The sequence below is a fragment of the Homo sapiens genome, chromosome X (genome assembly GCF_000001405.40).
Source record: "Homo sapiens chromosome X, GRCh38.p14 Primary Assembly".
Lineage (NCBI taxonomy): Eukaryota > Metazoa > Chordata > Mammalia > Primates > Hominidae > Homo > Homo sapiens.
The window spans coordinates 70295293-70311901 of NC_000023.11; the positions used below are offsets into that span (position 1 = coordinate 70295293).

Below are 16609 nucleotides of genomic sequence, written 5' to 3' on the forward strand. Positions count from 1 at the left end.
AGCCTCCCGAGTAGCTGGGACCACAGGCGCCCACCATCACACCCAGCTAATTTTTGTGTTTTTAGTACAGATAGGGTTTTGCCATGTTGGCCGGGCTGGTTTCAAACTCTGACCTCAAGCGATCTGCCCGCCTCGGCCTCCCAAAGTGCTCGATTGCAGGCGTGAGCCACCACGCCTGGCCAATAAACTCAAACAGAAATATATTTTATGGGTCTTTCTGCAAACAGTACTGATAACATAAGTGATAACGAAAAACACAGCCTCTGTTCAATAATGCCTTCTATTTAATAATTTAAAAAATACAAACGGGGGAAAAGAAAACACAAAAAATTTACCATCCTATGGCTTGGTGTGGTGGCTCACGCCTGTAATACCAGCACTTTGGGAGGCCAAGATGGGCGGATCACAAGGTCAGGAGATCAAGACCATCCTGGCTAACACGGTGAAACCCCGTCTCTACTAAAAATTCAAAAAATTAGCTGGGCGTGGTGGCACGCGTCTGTAATCCCAGCTACTCGGGAGACTGAGGCAGGAGAATCGCTTGAACCCGGGAGGTGGAGGTTGTAGTTAGCCGAGATCGCGCCACTGCACTCCAGCCTGGGCGGCAGAGCGAGACTCCATCTCAAAAAAAAAAAAAAATTTACCATCCTATTTCTCAGAGATAAACATCAAAATAATTAATAATTTATATACTTTTGATCTTTTCCTATCCATACACTCATATTTAACAATTATTTTTAAGCTGCTTTTTTCAGTTAACTATATTGTGAACATCTTTGAATAAATGATGCTTTTTTTTTTTTTTTTTTTTGAGACAGGGTCTGCTCTGTCACCTAGGCTGGAGTGCAGTGGCTTGATCAAGGCTCACTGTAACCTCTGCCTCCCAGGCTCAGGTGATTCTCCTGCCTCAGCCTCCAAAGTAGCTGGGATTATAGGCACCTGCCACCATGCCCTGTTAATTTTTGTATTTTTAGTAGAGACAGGGTTTCACCATGTTGCCCAGTCTAATGTTAAACTCCTGAGCTAAAGCAATCTGCCTGCCTCGGCTTCCCAAAGTGCTGGGATTACAGGTATGAGTCACGGAACCTGGCTCATTAATGGATGATTCTTTATCAATTCTCAATAAAAGCAAAGGCATATATCACATTGAATTATGCTTAAATGATGATATTTCTGTAAGCAGCCTGATAATATGGTTCAAATGCATTCTGAGAGTTCAGATATGAAGTAGATGCTTTCATTGACTGTAAAAAGCAATGTTGTTTCCTTTTCAGATAAATACTGTTAATCAAGAAAATACATGCCAGAATCCTTTCTTTTTCTTTAATTTAATTTCTGTAATTTAAAATTGCTTAAGGTAGGAAGACAGAATTTTCAAGCTCCAATGGCTTTTGACAGTGGCTTGGCCACCTTCATTTAGTCAGTCATATCTTTTAAGTGTTTGATTTCTTAGCTTCTAAGGGCTATCACTACGGGGACACATTTTAGGGTTGGGTTTTGTTTTGTTTTTGTTTGTTTTTTGCTTATTTTGAGTAGTGCAAGGTCATGGTACCCACAGAACTTTTCTTTGTGTCTGCCATTCTTAAGAGACTGTATTAAGAGAGCAATCTCAGTTTTATTACAAATAATTGCTGAAGGAAATGGAGTATATTGATTAGATGAAAATGTTTAAACACCACTATGCATGTGACGTCTATTTTGTCAGGATATAATGCAACGGTCCTGGCCTATGGGCAGACTGGCTCTGGAAAAACCTATTCAATGGGAGGTGCATATACTGCAGAGCAAGAGAATGAACCAACAGTTGGGGTTATTCCTAGGGTAATACAACTGCTCTTCAAAGAAATTGATAAAAAGAGTGACTTTGAATTTACTCTGAAAGTGTCTTACTTAGAGGTAAGCAATTTATGTTTAATTATTCTGAATTCGAAATTGTCTTTGGGTCGAAAAATAAATCCAAATCAGGTTTTTCCTGACATGACTCAAATTAGTAAGTTGCATTTTAATTAATTGATAGAGAAAACTTACTGACTCAGTTGGATCCGGCTCCCACCCAGTTCTTTCCTTGGTGTTAGAATAGTCTGTTTAATTTGATTGTTGGAGGAATTGACATTGCCATATAAAAGGTGATAGGAATTCTTTAATTCCAGTTTGGCCTCTGTTACTGATTACCTGTATAGTCTGCAGAAGAGTGTTTGATTTCCCTTTACTGTTTAAGACTTAAATGATAATGCTGTTGCCTCATGAAGAATGTTAAAAACCAGCTGAAATATTGAGCTGTATAAGCGGTGATAGAGTGTGTTTATTAAACAGATATTTACTGAGAACCTACCATGTGCCAGGCCCAATTCTAGGCACTTGGGTATATGAGGTACTTGGTATATATCAGTGAACAAAACAAAAATTCTAGCCCTTATGGGAGTTTGTGTTCTAGTGTATATTAGTATAGTTGTAGACTGGCCAATTGTATCTAACTTCATAACATCAAAAACACATCTTTAGGGAACTGATGGCTTCTGGGAAGCTAGCTACTTGATTCCATAGCAGTGATGTCTTATCCTTTAGGGGGTAATAATTAAACTTATATAATTTAAGCATGTGAACACTTAATCCTGAAGTTCAATCTCAGCATGCTAACAGGTAAAGAGATGTAGAACTGGAAGACAGGGGATTACATCATTAAGATTAGCCTTCTTGGCCAGGCCCGGTGGTTCACGCCTGTAATCCCAGCACTTTGGGAGGCCAGGGCGGGAGGATCACTTCAACCCAGGGGTCCGAGACCAGCCTGGGCAACATAGTGAGACCTTGTCTCTACAAAAACTTTAAAGATTAGCCAGGTGAGGTGGTGCATGCCTGCAGTCCCAGCTGCTCAGGAGGCTGAGGTAGGGTGGAAGGATTGCTTGAGCCCCAGAGTGAGACCTTAAAGGCAATTTTTAATTCTATTTATTTATTTCTTTTGAGAAAGAGTCCCACTCTCTCACAGGCTGGAGTGCAGTGGCAAAATCATAGCTCACTGCAGCCTCCAGCTCCTGCTCAAGCGATCCTCCCACCCCACCTCAGCCTTCCAAGCAGCTGGGACTACAAGCGTGTGCCACTTCGCCTGGCTAATTTTTAAATTTTTGTAGAGACAGGGTCTCACTATGTTGCCCAGGCTGGTGACAGACCCCTGGGCTCAAGTGATCCTCCCATTTTGGCTTCCCAAAGTGCTGGGATTATAGGCGTGAGTGACTGTGCTCAGCTAGATTAGCCTTCTTGAGTCTCTTGATTAACCTAGTTGTGGCCAACATAATTGAATATCAAAATAACTCCAGATCCTGGTATGTTAAATAATAGCAATAGCAGTAATAGCAAACACATGTAGTGCTTAGATGTGCTAAACACTGTTCTAAGTACTTAAAATTCTGTTTCATATTGAAATATTAGCTGCCACTTCTTCCTTTTCCATCCACCCCCATCTATGTACCTGTTATTCACATTTTAACAAAATGGGTGAATGTAATGCTATTATGATGCCATCAAAGAACTGAATTTGCGTGGTCATGTAACTTTTCATGTGTCTGCTGTTCCTAAGAGACTGTCTTAAGAGAGCAATCTCAATTTTGCTACAAGTGATATGTGAATTCATTCTTATAAAACATCAAGTGATTACCTATAGGGTTATGGTCCTTTTCTTAATTCTACAAGTAATACATGTTCATTATGAACAAATGTTTAAATATAGAAAGTCACAAATAATTTTAAAAATTACCTATGATCTCACCACCCAGAGATTACCACTGTTAACATCTTGTTTTTGCCACTTTATTTTCAACAATATCAGATTTACAATGAAGAAATTTTGGATCTTCTATGCCCATCTCGTGAGAAAGCTCAAATAAATATACGAGAGGATCCTAAGGAAGGCATAAAGGTGTGTTTGTCTCTCATTTGATGTTATTAAAAAAATTTGGCAATTATAATACTAAAGTTCACATCCCTTTTATCTGCCACTGTGGTTTTAAATGACTACTATCATCTCAGTCAGGTTTTCTGTGGTCCTAAGTCCCTTTGTTAATCTAAAATTTCTAGGTGGGAGCTCTTGTGGGGAAGCAAGGAAAGACGCATGTTCAGTTTTATCACCTTCCTGTTACCTAGAGGAATGCCAATATCAATTAAATATTATTTACAGAGTTCTAAGGCTGAGCAGTCCAGTATGTTAGCCACTAGCCACAAGTGGCTATTTAAATTTAAATGAATTAAAATTGAATAAAATTTTAAAAATTCATTTCCTCAGGCACACTAGCCACGTATGAAGTGCTCGATAGCTACATATGGCTAGTGGTAACCATGTTTGAGAGCACAGATAGATACAGAACATATCCATGTATTTTCTTCTGGGTCATTGTTAGCCAGCTACTAATGCATGGATATGATTGAACATATCTATATCCAATAGAAAATTCTGTTGGACAGCACTGTAATAGACATTTTGCTGGGCTTTGGGATGATATTTTTAAAATTGAAAAGTTAAACTATATATAATTTTTAAAACATGTAAGTATCATAGGAAGAAGAGATAGCTTATTTGAGAATCTTCTGTCAGATGGTATAGATGCAAGATGAGGAGCTAGAACTGAACAGAAAATGTGAGGCAAAATTGAGAGTTTCCTATGTGGGAGTGAGCCAAATCCAGAAGCCAGTGTTGAAAACAGGCAGAGCTTGAGTATTCAGGAGTGGGAAAATCAGAGGCTGGAGGTAGATGAGGCTAGGTAGTACTCTGGAAAACTTGGAATAATATCTTACTCCTGTTCTCCTTCCCTTCTTCTCTTGCACAAAGAAAAACAGAGAAAGTTGAAGATTTGGGGTACCAGTGAGGGACAGGTGCCTGTGCTCCTGATTTTTTTTTCTGGGTCATTAAGTTGTTAGCCAGCTACTAATGCAAAGTTTAAAGGATCAGCCCTGATAAGCTTGGAATATGCAAAGATGATTTGGATAGTGAGGATAAGAAACCTGGACAAAATACATGCTATTGTACTGAGCCAGCACTTGACCCTGTTTCAAGATCTTTTATATACCCCATGTTAAGGCAGGAATTAAGTCCTAAGAGTTGTTTGAGGTGAGATTTGCAATACAGAGAAGTATGAGTTCCTGACACAAATTGGTAAGGAAGAGTTTGTAAACACTCTTCAGATGGGATGGATAGGCTTTAAGTAAGTAGAGAAAATAAGGATATTCTTATGGTAAGGAATAGCTTTAGCAGGAAAGCAGAAAATATACACCTGAGGGTAATAAGACTACACAAGTCTGTCTGGATTAGAGGATTTGGGCTGGGAAGTAACAGGAGATATGTTAGGACCAGATTATGAAGCCGGGCTAAAGAGCTTAGTTTCTATCCCTGTGAACCATATAAACTATGTAAAACTTCTGAGTGAGGGATTACTGTGGCTACTTTTACCAAGTTTTTATCTTATGTGTGTATCTCTCCAACTCTGTTACAAGTGATATGTGAATTCATTCTTATAAGGAATTCACCCTAACCTGGAGGTCAGGGGAGTACTTTGAAATCTCTTTGTATCTTCGTTATCTAGCACAGGGCTTAGTAGGTTGGTGACATTTTAGGAAAACCAAACAGAAATGGATTGAAAAGGAGAAAGACTGGGATGAGAAAGACCAGTTGGGGAAACTGTTGCTTATTTTTTAGGTGTGAAGTAATATGGGCCTGAACTAGGCAAGTAGATGTGTAAAGGAAAAGGAAGTGATGGATTCAAAAGGAGAATGACTAGTAGTTGGTGATAGATATTATATGGAGGAGTGGGAGAAGTTGAAGGTGATGTGAGTTTTTGAGAATATGAGACAAGATTAATAGAAATGGAGAAGTATTATAGTAGAGAGAATTAGTGTTTGTGGGAGGAAGATGAATTTGGTTTATAATTGACTGATTTCAAAGTGTAAGTGGTAAGGTAGATCATTAGAAATAAAAGACTAGAAATTAGGGCCACAGAAGTAAGTTTGGGAGCTATGAAGTAATAAAATTATAGCATATTGGAGCTAGAAAAGACTTCATAAGCATCTAGTCCAATCACCTCAGAGGCTCCAAGAGATTCAACTTGTATAAGTTCTCCAAGGTAAATACAGTACTAAGCCTGGGGTCCTGTTTTCCTGGCTTCCTAATCCAGTGGAAACTGTACCATGCTATTTCCTCTAGTGAAAATGAGGTTAAAAATGAATCAGAGGTACAGAGAGGAGCATGGGGTCAGATAGGGGTGAAAGTAACAAAGAGAAATGCCATCGCTGTTTGTGTTGTACTTGCTCTCCTTGGGACCAGAATTAACTTCACTTGGGGTTTCTTGGAAGGCACGTAGCCATTGCTACCCTAAAATCTTGAGATCTTTTCTAGCTCCAGTATTAGCTGGCACGCTTGTTTCTGAAGTTCCTAAGGAAGATTGGAGACCTTAGTTTCCAGCTATCTTCACAGAGTTGCCAGTTAAAGCAGTTCTTATCACCATGACTGTTCTATTTGAGGTTCTACTAGACTATCAAGGCATTTTTTTAAACCACCAATCCCTATATTTCTGACCAAGCATTTGAAGTATAAATCATAAGGGAATTTTCTCTTTCTTGCAATTAGATTGTGGGACTCACTGAGAAGACTGTTTTGGTTGCCTTGGATACTGTTTCCTGTTTGGAACAGGGCAACAACTCTAGGACTGTGGCCTCCACGGCTATGAACTCCCAGTCGTCCCGATCTCATGCCATCTTTACAATCTCCTTAGAGCAAAGAAAGAAAAGTGACAAGTAAGTTACAATTTAAAGAGTCAAGATTTTTAGTATTAGTTCTATTAAGGTTAAACATTAGACTGCTTCTTCAATTGATTTGACAAATCATCAGACATCAGTATTGTGAGCACGAGTGACTAATGGAGCCATTTTGACTGACTTGAAAGAAAATGAGAGCTGACAGGTCAGCTTTGATATTCAGTTACTCTCAAGCTTGTGTACCATTCTCACTGTGTCTTCCTTTCATTATCACAGGAATAGCAGCTTTCGCTCCAAGCTGCATCTTGTAGACCTCGCTGGATCAGAAAGACAGAAGAAAACCAAGGCTGAAGGGGATCGTCTAAAAGAGGGTAAGAGAGTAATTAAGGTCACAGTTGTAGATTAAAAACTTCTAGTACTCTTGTTGGTATTGTTGGTGTTTTCGACTGGGATTTGAGATCACATTCTAACAGTAGCTACGATTCAGATTTGAGGCTGAGTTCAGAAATAGCGAAAAATTGTTTCTTTCCCTTGCTCTCATTCTCTAATTCAGGTATGAGATTTGGATCTGGCCTTTGGTTTGATTTCATCTGGTCCAGGCAAGTTTTAGTTTTAGTTTTGTTTTGTTTTGTTTTACCCCAACTATTTATAATTAAAATCAGTATCCTGATTCTGTCATTTTAAGTATTCACCATCCCTTCCAGATGTTGTCACATATAAACCTCAGCCCAATTTCCATGCCTTCATTCAAGTTGTTGAATTTGAAAAGTGATGAAATTCCTAAGGCTAGAAGAACCCTGTGATGTAGGCTATTAGAAACCTTCTTCTAACATTATAGTGACCTGGTAATCTGCATGCCTTGGTAATGATCTTGAAGTGATTATTAATCTCTCTAACAAAAATTAACATCCAGCTCTATATCTCAATTTTGTTCTTAAGGATATCATAAAATAGTTCATCAGATGCCTTGCTAAATCCAGATACACCATATCTACTGTATTTCTCATAGCTACCAGCTTAGTAACAATACAAAAAAGAAATAAGGGATTTTAGCCTAAAGTGCTTTTTCTTGGTGAATTCAAGGTTGGCTTCTAGTGCTTATTCTTCTGTTTTCTAGGTTCTTGCATGCTGTCCCTCTAATAATCCACTCTAGACTTATATCAAACCCACTGTTTGGTAATTTATGGAATTAACTTTTATCCCTGTTTTGAAAATTGAAATTGCATCTGCCCAGTCTTCTAGAATGTCTTTCTCTGTGATTCGTCAAAGATCATTGACATAGCTTCAGCAGTCTCGTTTGAAATTACTCTATGTTCCCTTAGCTATAATTCATCTGGTCCAAGATATTTGAACTCTTATTAAAGCAGTTGGGTTTACACTTACTACCTCTTTACTCATATTGGGCTTCATTTCTCTCTTGGGAACTGAGAAGGCAGAAGGAAAAATATTAATTGAGGAATTTTATTTCTGTCATTTATCATTATTATACTGTTGGCACTGAGTGCAGACCTGTTTCTTCCTCATTCAGCTTTTTGTTCTGAGTGTCATTCAAAGTACCCTTTTTGTTCTATGTTTGCACTTGAGATTTAGCTTTCCTAAGACTATTTTTAAAGGCTGTAATGCTTTCTTTATCTTCTTTTAGGTGTTCAGTTCCAAGTTGTTTTATTTAACAGCTTTATTGAGATATAATTTACGTACTATAACATTACCTATTTAAACTGTACATATCAGTGGATTTTAGTATATTCACAGAGTTGTACAATCATCATCATAATCTAATTTTAGAACATTTTATCATCCCAAGGAGAAGCCCCATATTCATTAGCAGTCACTCCCCATTCCCACCCCTTTCCCTGGCCCTAGGCAACCACTTAACTTACATTTCTTTTTTTTTATTTTTTTATTTTATTTTATTATTATTATTATTATACTTTAAGTTTTAGGGTACATGTGCACAATGTGCAGGTTAGTTACATATGTATACATGTGCCATGCTGGTGTGCTGCACCCATTAACTCGTCATTTAGCATTAGGTATATCTCCTAATGCTATCCCTCCCCCCTCCCCCCACCCCACAACAGTCCGCAGAGTGTGATGTTCCCCTTCCTGTGTCCATGTGTTCTCATTGTGCAATTCCCACCTATGAGTGAGAACATGTGGTGTTTGGTTTTTTGTCCTTGCGATAGTTTACTGAGAATGATGATTTCCAATTTCATCCATGTCCCTACAAAGGACATGAACTCATCATTTTTTATGGCTGCATAGTATTCCATGGTGTACATGTGCCACATTTTCTTAATCCAGTCTATCATTGTTGGACATTTGGGTTGGTTCCAAGTCTTTGCTATTGTGAATAGTGCTGCAATAAACATATGTGTGCATGTGTCTTTATAGCAGCATGATTTATAGTCCTTTGGGTATATACCCAGTAATGGGATGGCTGGGTCAAATGGTATTTCTAGTTTTCGATCCCTGAGGAATCGCCACACTGACTTCCACAATGGTTGAACTAGTTTACATTTCATATAAATGTAATCATACAATATATTGTCTTTTGTGACTGGCTTAGCCTAAGATTTTCAAGGTTCATCCATGTTGCATCATATATCAGTACTTCATTCCTTTTTTTTTTTTTTTTTTTTTTTGAGAGAGAGAGAGTCTCACTCTGTTGCCCAGGCTGGAGTGCAGTGGCATGATCTTGGCTCACTGCAACCTCCACCTTCCAGGTTCAGGCAGTTCTACTGCCTCAGCCTCCCATAGCTGGGGTTACAAGCATGTGCCACCATGCCTGGCTAATTTTTGTATTTTTTAGTAGAGATGGGGTTTCATTCACCATGTTGGCCAGGCTGGTCTTGAACTCCTGACCTCAAGTGATCCACCCACCTTGGCCTCCCAAAGTGCTGGGATTACAGGTGTGAGCCACCATACCCGGCCTCATTTCTTTCTATTGCTGAACAATATTCCATTGTATGGATATGCCACATTTTGGTTGTTCATTCATCAGTCATATCCAATTTTCTCTGTTATGAACTTCTGTGTGTAAATTTTCACGTGGACAAAGGTTTTCATTTATCTTGGGTATATACCTAGGAATGGAATTGCTAGGTCATATGGTAACTCTGTTTAACTTTTTTTTTAAAAGAATAAAAGATATAATTATATAATTAACATACCATAACACTCACCCTTTTAAAGTATACATTTCACTGATTTTTAGTATGTTCACAAGGAGTTGTATAACCATCACCGCAATAAATTTTAGAATATTTTCATCACCTCAAAAAGAAATCCATACCCATTAGCATTCACTCCTTATTTCCCCTCAATATATGTTCCTCACCTCTCATCCTAGGCAATAACCAATCCTCTGTCTCTGCAGATTTGCCTATTCTGGGCATTTCATATAAATGGAATTATACAATATGTGGTCTTTTGTGACTGGCTTCTTTCACATAGCATAATGTCAAAGTTCATCTATATTGTAGCATGTATCAGTACTGAATTCTGTTTTATTGCCAAACAATCTTCCATTGTATGGAAATACCATGTTTTTATTTATCCATTCATCCCTTGATGGACATTTGGGTTGTTTTCATTTTGGGTTATTATGAATAATGCTGCTATGAACATTTGTGTATGTTTTTCTGTAGACAAGTTTTCATTTCTCTTGAGTGTATACCTATGAGTGGAATTGCTGGATCATATGGTCACTCCATGTTTAACCTTTTGAAGAACTACCATCACACTGTTTTTCAAAGCAACGACATCATTTTTTGTTCTCACCAGCAATATATAAGGGTTCCAGTATCTCCACATTTTCACTTGTTACTTATTTATTTTTCAAACTCCTGGGTGCCATCAGATTTGCTTGTTATTATGCCTTTTTAATTATAGCTATCCTAGTGGGTACGAAGTGGTATCTCATTGTGGTTTTTATTTATATTTCACTGATGGCTAATGATGTTGAACATCATTTCATGTTATATAACTTTTGGAAGAATGTCCTTTCATATCACATTTAGGCTTTGACCCATTTTGAGTTAATTTTTGCATATGATGTGAAGAGTGGTCCAGTTTCTTTTGCATCTGTATATGAGTTATCCCAGCATCGTTTGTTGAAAAGACTATCCTTTCCCCCATTGAATTGTCTTGGCATACTTGTCAAGAAGCAACTGGTCTCTATTCCTTTGATCTATATGCCTTACGCCTTATGTCTTCATTACTGTAGCTTTGTGGTAAGTTTTGAAATTGGGAAGTGTGAGTCCTCCAACTTCGTTCTTGTTCAAGATTGTATTGGCTATTCTGGGCCCCTTTCATTTCCATATGAACATTAGGTTCAACTTGTCAATTTCTGCAAAAAAGCCAGCTGGGATTTTATAGAGATTTCGCTGAATCTGTAGACCCACTTGGGAAGTATTGCCATCTTAACAATATTAAGTCTTTCAATGTATGAACATCAGATGTCTTTCTTTTTCTTTTTCAAATTTTTTCAAATTTTTTATTTTTATCTTTATTTTATTTTATTTTTTGAGACAATCTCACTCTGTTGCCCAGGCTGGAGTGCAGTGGTGTGATCTCGGCTCACTGCAACCTCTGCTTCCCAGGTTCAAGCTATTCTCCTGCCTTAGCCTCCCAAGTAAGTAGCTGAGACTACAGACACATGCCAGCACACCTGGCTGATTTTTGTATTTTTAGTAGAGACGGGACTTCACCATGTTGGCCAGGCTGGTCTCAAACTCCTAACCTCAAGTGATCCACCCGCCTTGGCCTTCCAAAGTGCTGGGATTACAGGCATGAGCCACCGTGCCCGGCCTCTTTTTTTTTTTTTTAGAGACAAGATCTTGCTCTGTTTCCCAGGTTGGAAAGCAATGGCTGCAGCCTAAACCTCCCAGGCTCAAGCAATCTTCCTACCTCAGCCTCCCAAGTAGCTGGGACTATAGGCATGTACCACCACTCTTGGTTGATTTTTAATTTTTTTTTGTAGAGACGGGTCTCACTTTCTTGCCCAGGCTGGTCTTGAATGCCTGGCCTCAAGTGATCTTCCTGCCTTTACCTCCCAAAGTGCTGGTTTATAGGCATGAGCGACTGTGCTTGGAGTATCTTTCTTTTTATTTAATTCTTTTTTAATATTTTTTGATAATTTTTTTTTAATTTTCAGAGTATAAGTTTTACACTTCTTTTGTTAAATTTATTCCTAAGTATTTTATCCTTTCCAATGCTATTGTAAATGCAATTGTTTTCTTAATTTCATTTTCAATTTGTTTATTGAGTTTTGTAGATCTTGTATCTGCAAACTTGCAGAACTTATTAGTTCTAATAGCTTTTTAAATAGATGCTTTAGGATTTCTGTGTACAAGATCATGTCACCTGTGAATAGAGATACTTTTACTTCTTTCTTTCTAGTCTGGATGCCTTTACTTCTTTTTCTTGCCTGCTTGTCCTGACTAGAAGCGCCAGTATAATGGTGAATAAAAGTGGTGAGAATGAATGTTGTTATTTTGTTCCTGATCTTAAGGGAAAAGCATTCAGTCTTTGTTCTTCATAGGTGCCCTACCAGGTTGAGGAAGTTCCCTTGTACACCTAGTTTGTTAAGTGTTTTTATCATGAATGGGTATTTGTCAAATGCTTTTTTGTCATCTATTGATGTGATCACATGATCACATTATTTTTGTTCTTTAGTCTATTGATATGGTATACTGCATTAATTGATTTTTGAATGTTAAACCAACCTTGTATTCCTAGGATAAATCTCACTTGTTTTTGTTTGTTTAGTGACTTTCCTGGACTGATTCTGTAAACTGGATTCCCTGTAGTTTGCCATCACAGAAGTGTCTTCTCTGTTAATTTAGTGGTTACTTGATGACTGGTCTCAGTTACTTAAATGCCTTGAACCTATACATCTTCCACCATTTGCCAAGAGTTTTGTGTCTGTGTTTGGGCATATGCCTTCAACACTCAGGCACTTTTACAACTCTGCCTTAGCCTTCACTGCTTAAACAGAGTCTCAAAGTCAGCCAGAGATGCAAAATTTATGGCTTTTTAGGTCTTTCCTGAGCATGTAGACAGCCCTATACATTCAGACAACTTTCTAGACCTTCAGAAATATATCTGAACTTTTTAATCCCCACTCCCTCCCGTGGATACCTCATTTCCCAGACCTTTTAAGCTCTTAGCTAGGCTTTTGTTTAACCATGATTATTAAGTTTGGTGTTTATCTTTACCAGATGTTTTTCTGTGCATATGTGTATGTGTGCATATAGTAATATAGTTTTTATATACCTTTAAATATTTTGGCATTGCCTAATTTATTTATTTCCTTTTAACTATACAAGTAATACATGAATAGATTCTCATATAAAAATACAAACAATACAGATGAAGATAAAATCTACCTTGATTTACCACCCAGTCCTAATCCAGAGGTGAACACTTTCATCTGACTGGTGGGTATCATTCAAGATTTTTTCACGTACACATATATTTTTTATTGGTGTTGCTGTGTTTTTAAAGATAAATGTCATCATGCTACACATATTGTTTTTCAACTTGCTTTTATCTCTTCGTGATACAACTTAGATTTTTTGTTTTGTTTTGTTTTAAGAGATGGAGTCTTGCTCTGTCATCCAGGCTGGAGTACAGTGGCACGATCTCGGCTCACTGCAACCTCCGCCTCCTGGGTTCAAGTAATTCTCCTGCCTCAGCCTCCTAAGTAGGTGGGACTACAGGCACATGCTGCCATGCATGACTAATTTTTTGTATTTTAGTAGAGATGGGGTTTCACCTTGTTGCCCAGGCTGGTCTCGAACTCCTGAGCTCAAGCAATCTGCCTGCCTCGGCCTCCCAAAGTGCTAGGATTACAGGCGTGAGCCACCACGCCAGGCCTGAGATCTTTTTTGTATCCCGTGTATATAAGTCTACTTCATTTAAAAAACTGTTACATAGGATTCCACGGTATACAGTCTACCTTGTTTATTCCTATTTTGGTTGACATTTCAGTTTTCCAATTTCTGGCTATTGGAAATTGATGCCTCACTAGATAGCCTTGTACATGATAAACATGTGAGAGTATTCTCTGTTATGTACCTGAAAGAGGAATTGCTAGATTGAAGGGTATACACGTTTGAGTAAATACTATTAAATATTGCACACCAAAATGTCTGCCTCTTTATCCACTCTACCTACAAAATATGATGATGTTTCTCTATACTACTGACAATATTGGATATTATTGACCTTTTTAGTCTTGCCTCTCTTGAATATTGCATGTTATTGGCTATTTCTCTTTCCATTTCTATGAATTGCCTGTTCATACCATTTGCTTATTTTTTCTTCTTTCATGTTGTATTTTTCTTATTGATTTATAGGAGTTGTTTATATATTCTGGATATTAAGCCTTAGTTACATATATTGCATATGTTTTCCTCAGTCTCATTTTTTAACTTTATTGATCTTTTTCATTTGTGCCTTGTGTGTGTTTTTCTTCTTACATATTTTTTCTATTTTTGAATATGTAAAATTGGCTACTTAAGGAGCAATAGCTTTTTTTCTTTTTCAGCCTTATTGAGGTATAATAGACAAAAAAAATTGTAAATGTTTAAAGTAGACAGTGCGATACTTTGATATATGCATAAATTGTGAAATGATTACCACAGTCAAGCTAATTAGCATATCAATCACCTCATGTAGTTATATTTTTCAATATGTTATTTCTTGAAGTAAAATTTATATACAATTGGCCTGGCACAGTGACTCATGCCTGTAATCCCAACACTTGGGGAGGTCGAGAAGGGCAGATCACTTGAGGCCAGGAGTTTGAGACCAGTCTGGCCAACATGGCAAACCCTGTGTCTACTAACATTCCAAAAATTAGCCAAGCGTGGTGGCGCACGCCTGTAGTCCCAGCTACTCTGGTGGCTGAGGCACGAGATTTGCTTGAACCTGCAAGGTGGAGGTTGCAGTGAGCCAAGATCACGCCACTGCACTCCAGGCTGGGTGACAGAGTGAGACTCTTTCTCAAAAGCAAACAAAAAAAATTTATATACAGTAAAATGCGCATACCTTAAATGCTTAGTTTGTTGAGTTTTGCTAGTTATATACATTCATATATCTACCACCAAAAATATCATATAAAACAATTCCATCTTTCCAGAAACTTCCCTTGTGCCCCTTTCCAGTCAATCCATCCTTCCCCCATTCCACTTCCAGCAACCACTTTCTGACTTCTGTCACCATAGATTAATTTTGCATGTTCTTAGACTTCATTACAGTGGGATCTCAAAATGGTTGTGTGTGTGTGTGTGTGTGTGTGTGTGTGTGTGTGTGCCTGGATTCTTTTGCTCAACATAGTGTTTTTTGAGATTTGTTCATGTTCTTGCTTTGATTAGTGATTTTCCTTTGTATTGCTGAGTAGTATTCAATTCTATGATTATACCACTATTTGTTTTTCTATTCTCGTATTGTTGAGAATTTAGGTTATCTCAAATTTTTAGCTATTATGAATAAAGCTACCCTGAACATTTGTATACAGGTCTTTTTGTGAACATATGTTTCCATTTCACTTGGATAAATACCTAGGAATAGAAGAGGGCAAGCGTATGTTTAACTTTATGAGAAAGTGCCTAACAGTTCTCTAACATGGTTTGTATCATTTTACACCCCAGCAGTGTATGAGAGTTCCAGTTTTTTACGTTTTTTTGTATGCTCTGGTACAGTTGATATAACATGGAAATTATCTCTGAAGGTTTCTTGAAGATTTGATTTTCTATATCTTGAGCCAATTCTGGTCATTTATATTTTCTTAGAAAATTGTTCATTTTGGCCAGTCACAGAGGCTCACACCTATAATCTCAGCATTTTGGGAGGCCTAGGTAGGAGGATCGCTTGAGCCCGGGAGTTGGAGACCAGCCTGAGCAATATAGTAAGATCACTGTCTCTACAAAAAATAAAAAATTAGCCAGGCATGGTGGCACATGCCTGTAGTCCTGGCTACTCGGGGGACTGAGGTGGAGGATCGATTGAGCCCTGAAGACCAAGGCTGTAGTGAGCCAAGATCGCACCACAGCACTCCAGCCTGGGTGACAGAGTGAGACCCTGTCCTAAAAAAAAAAAAGAAGAAGAAGAAGAAAAAGAAAGAAAATTATTCATTTTTTCTGATTGCCGAATTTATTAATATAATATTGCAAATAGATTTACTTTATAGTTTTAATCTCCTCTTTATCTGTAGTTATGTCTCACTTTCATTTCAATTGTTTATATATCTTCTGTTTTTTCTATCACATTTGACAGATTAACTCTACCTTTTTCCAATTTTTACTATTACTCTATTACTGAGTTCTTCCTAAGTTGTTTTATTTTGTTTTATGTTCTTTTTATTGCTTCTTGAGTTGAAAGCTGAGTTTACTTCTTTTCTTCTCCTTTTTAAAAAAGCTTTTCAAGCATATACAGAAGAGGTCAGGATGGTATAATGAATGCCTCCCCCAATATACCTGTCATGAAGTTTCAGCAATGACTAATTTATGACCAGTCTTGTTTTGTCTATATAATACCCACTTTCTCCCTCTGATATTATTTGAAACAAATCACGGACATATTGTTTTATTTTTTTCAGTTTGTATCTGTAGAAATTAAGAACTCTTAAAATATAATCACCTAGGTCAGGTTCAGTGACTCATGCCTGTAATTTCAGCACTTTGGGAGGTCAAAGCAGGAAGATTGCTTGAGACCAGGAATTTGACAGCAGCCTGAGCAACATAGCGAGACCCCACCATCTCTACAAAAATAAAAAATAAAATAGCCAGGTGTGGTGGCATATACCTGTAGTCCTAGCTGAGGCAGGAGGATGGCTGGAGCCCAGGAGTTTGAGACTGTGGTGAGC

At 37.8% G+C, this 16609-nt stretch overlaps 1 protein-coding gene across 1 annotated transcript in view; it reads left to right on the top strand.

Moving 5' to 3' along the window:
- KIF4A (kinesin family member 4A) overlaps positions 1-16609 on the top strand; it is a 130783-nt gene that overhangs the window by 5189 nt on the left and 108985 nt on the right. Inside the window, exons 4-7 of the mRNA NM_012310.5 lie at positions 1706-1896; positions 3821-3910; positions 6608-6774; positions 7012-7106. Coding sequence (NP_036442.3) covers positions 1706-1896; positions 3821-3910; positions 6608-6774; positions 7012-7106 — 543 coding nt within the window. The remainder of the gene's footprint in view (positions 1-1705; positions 1897-3820; positions 3911-6607; positions 6775-7011; positions 7107-16609) is intronic.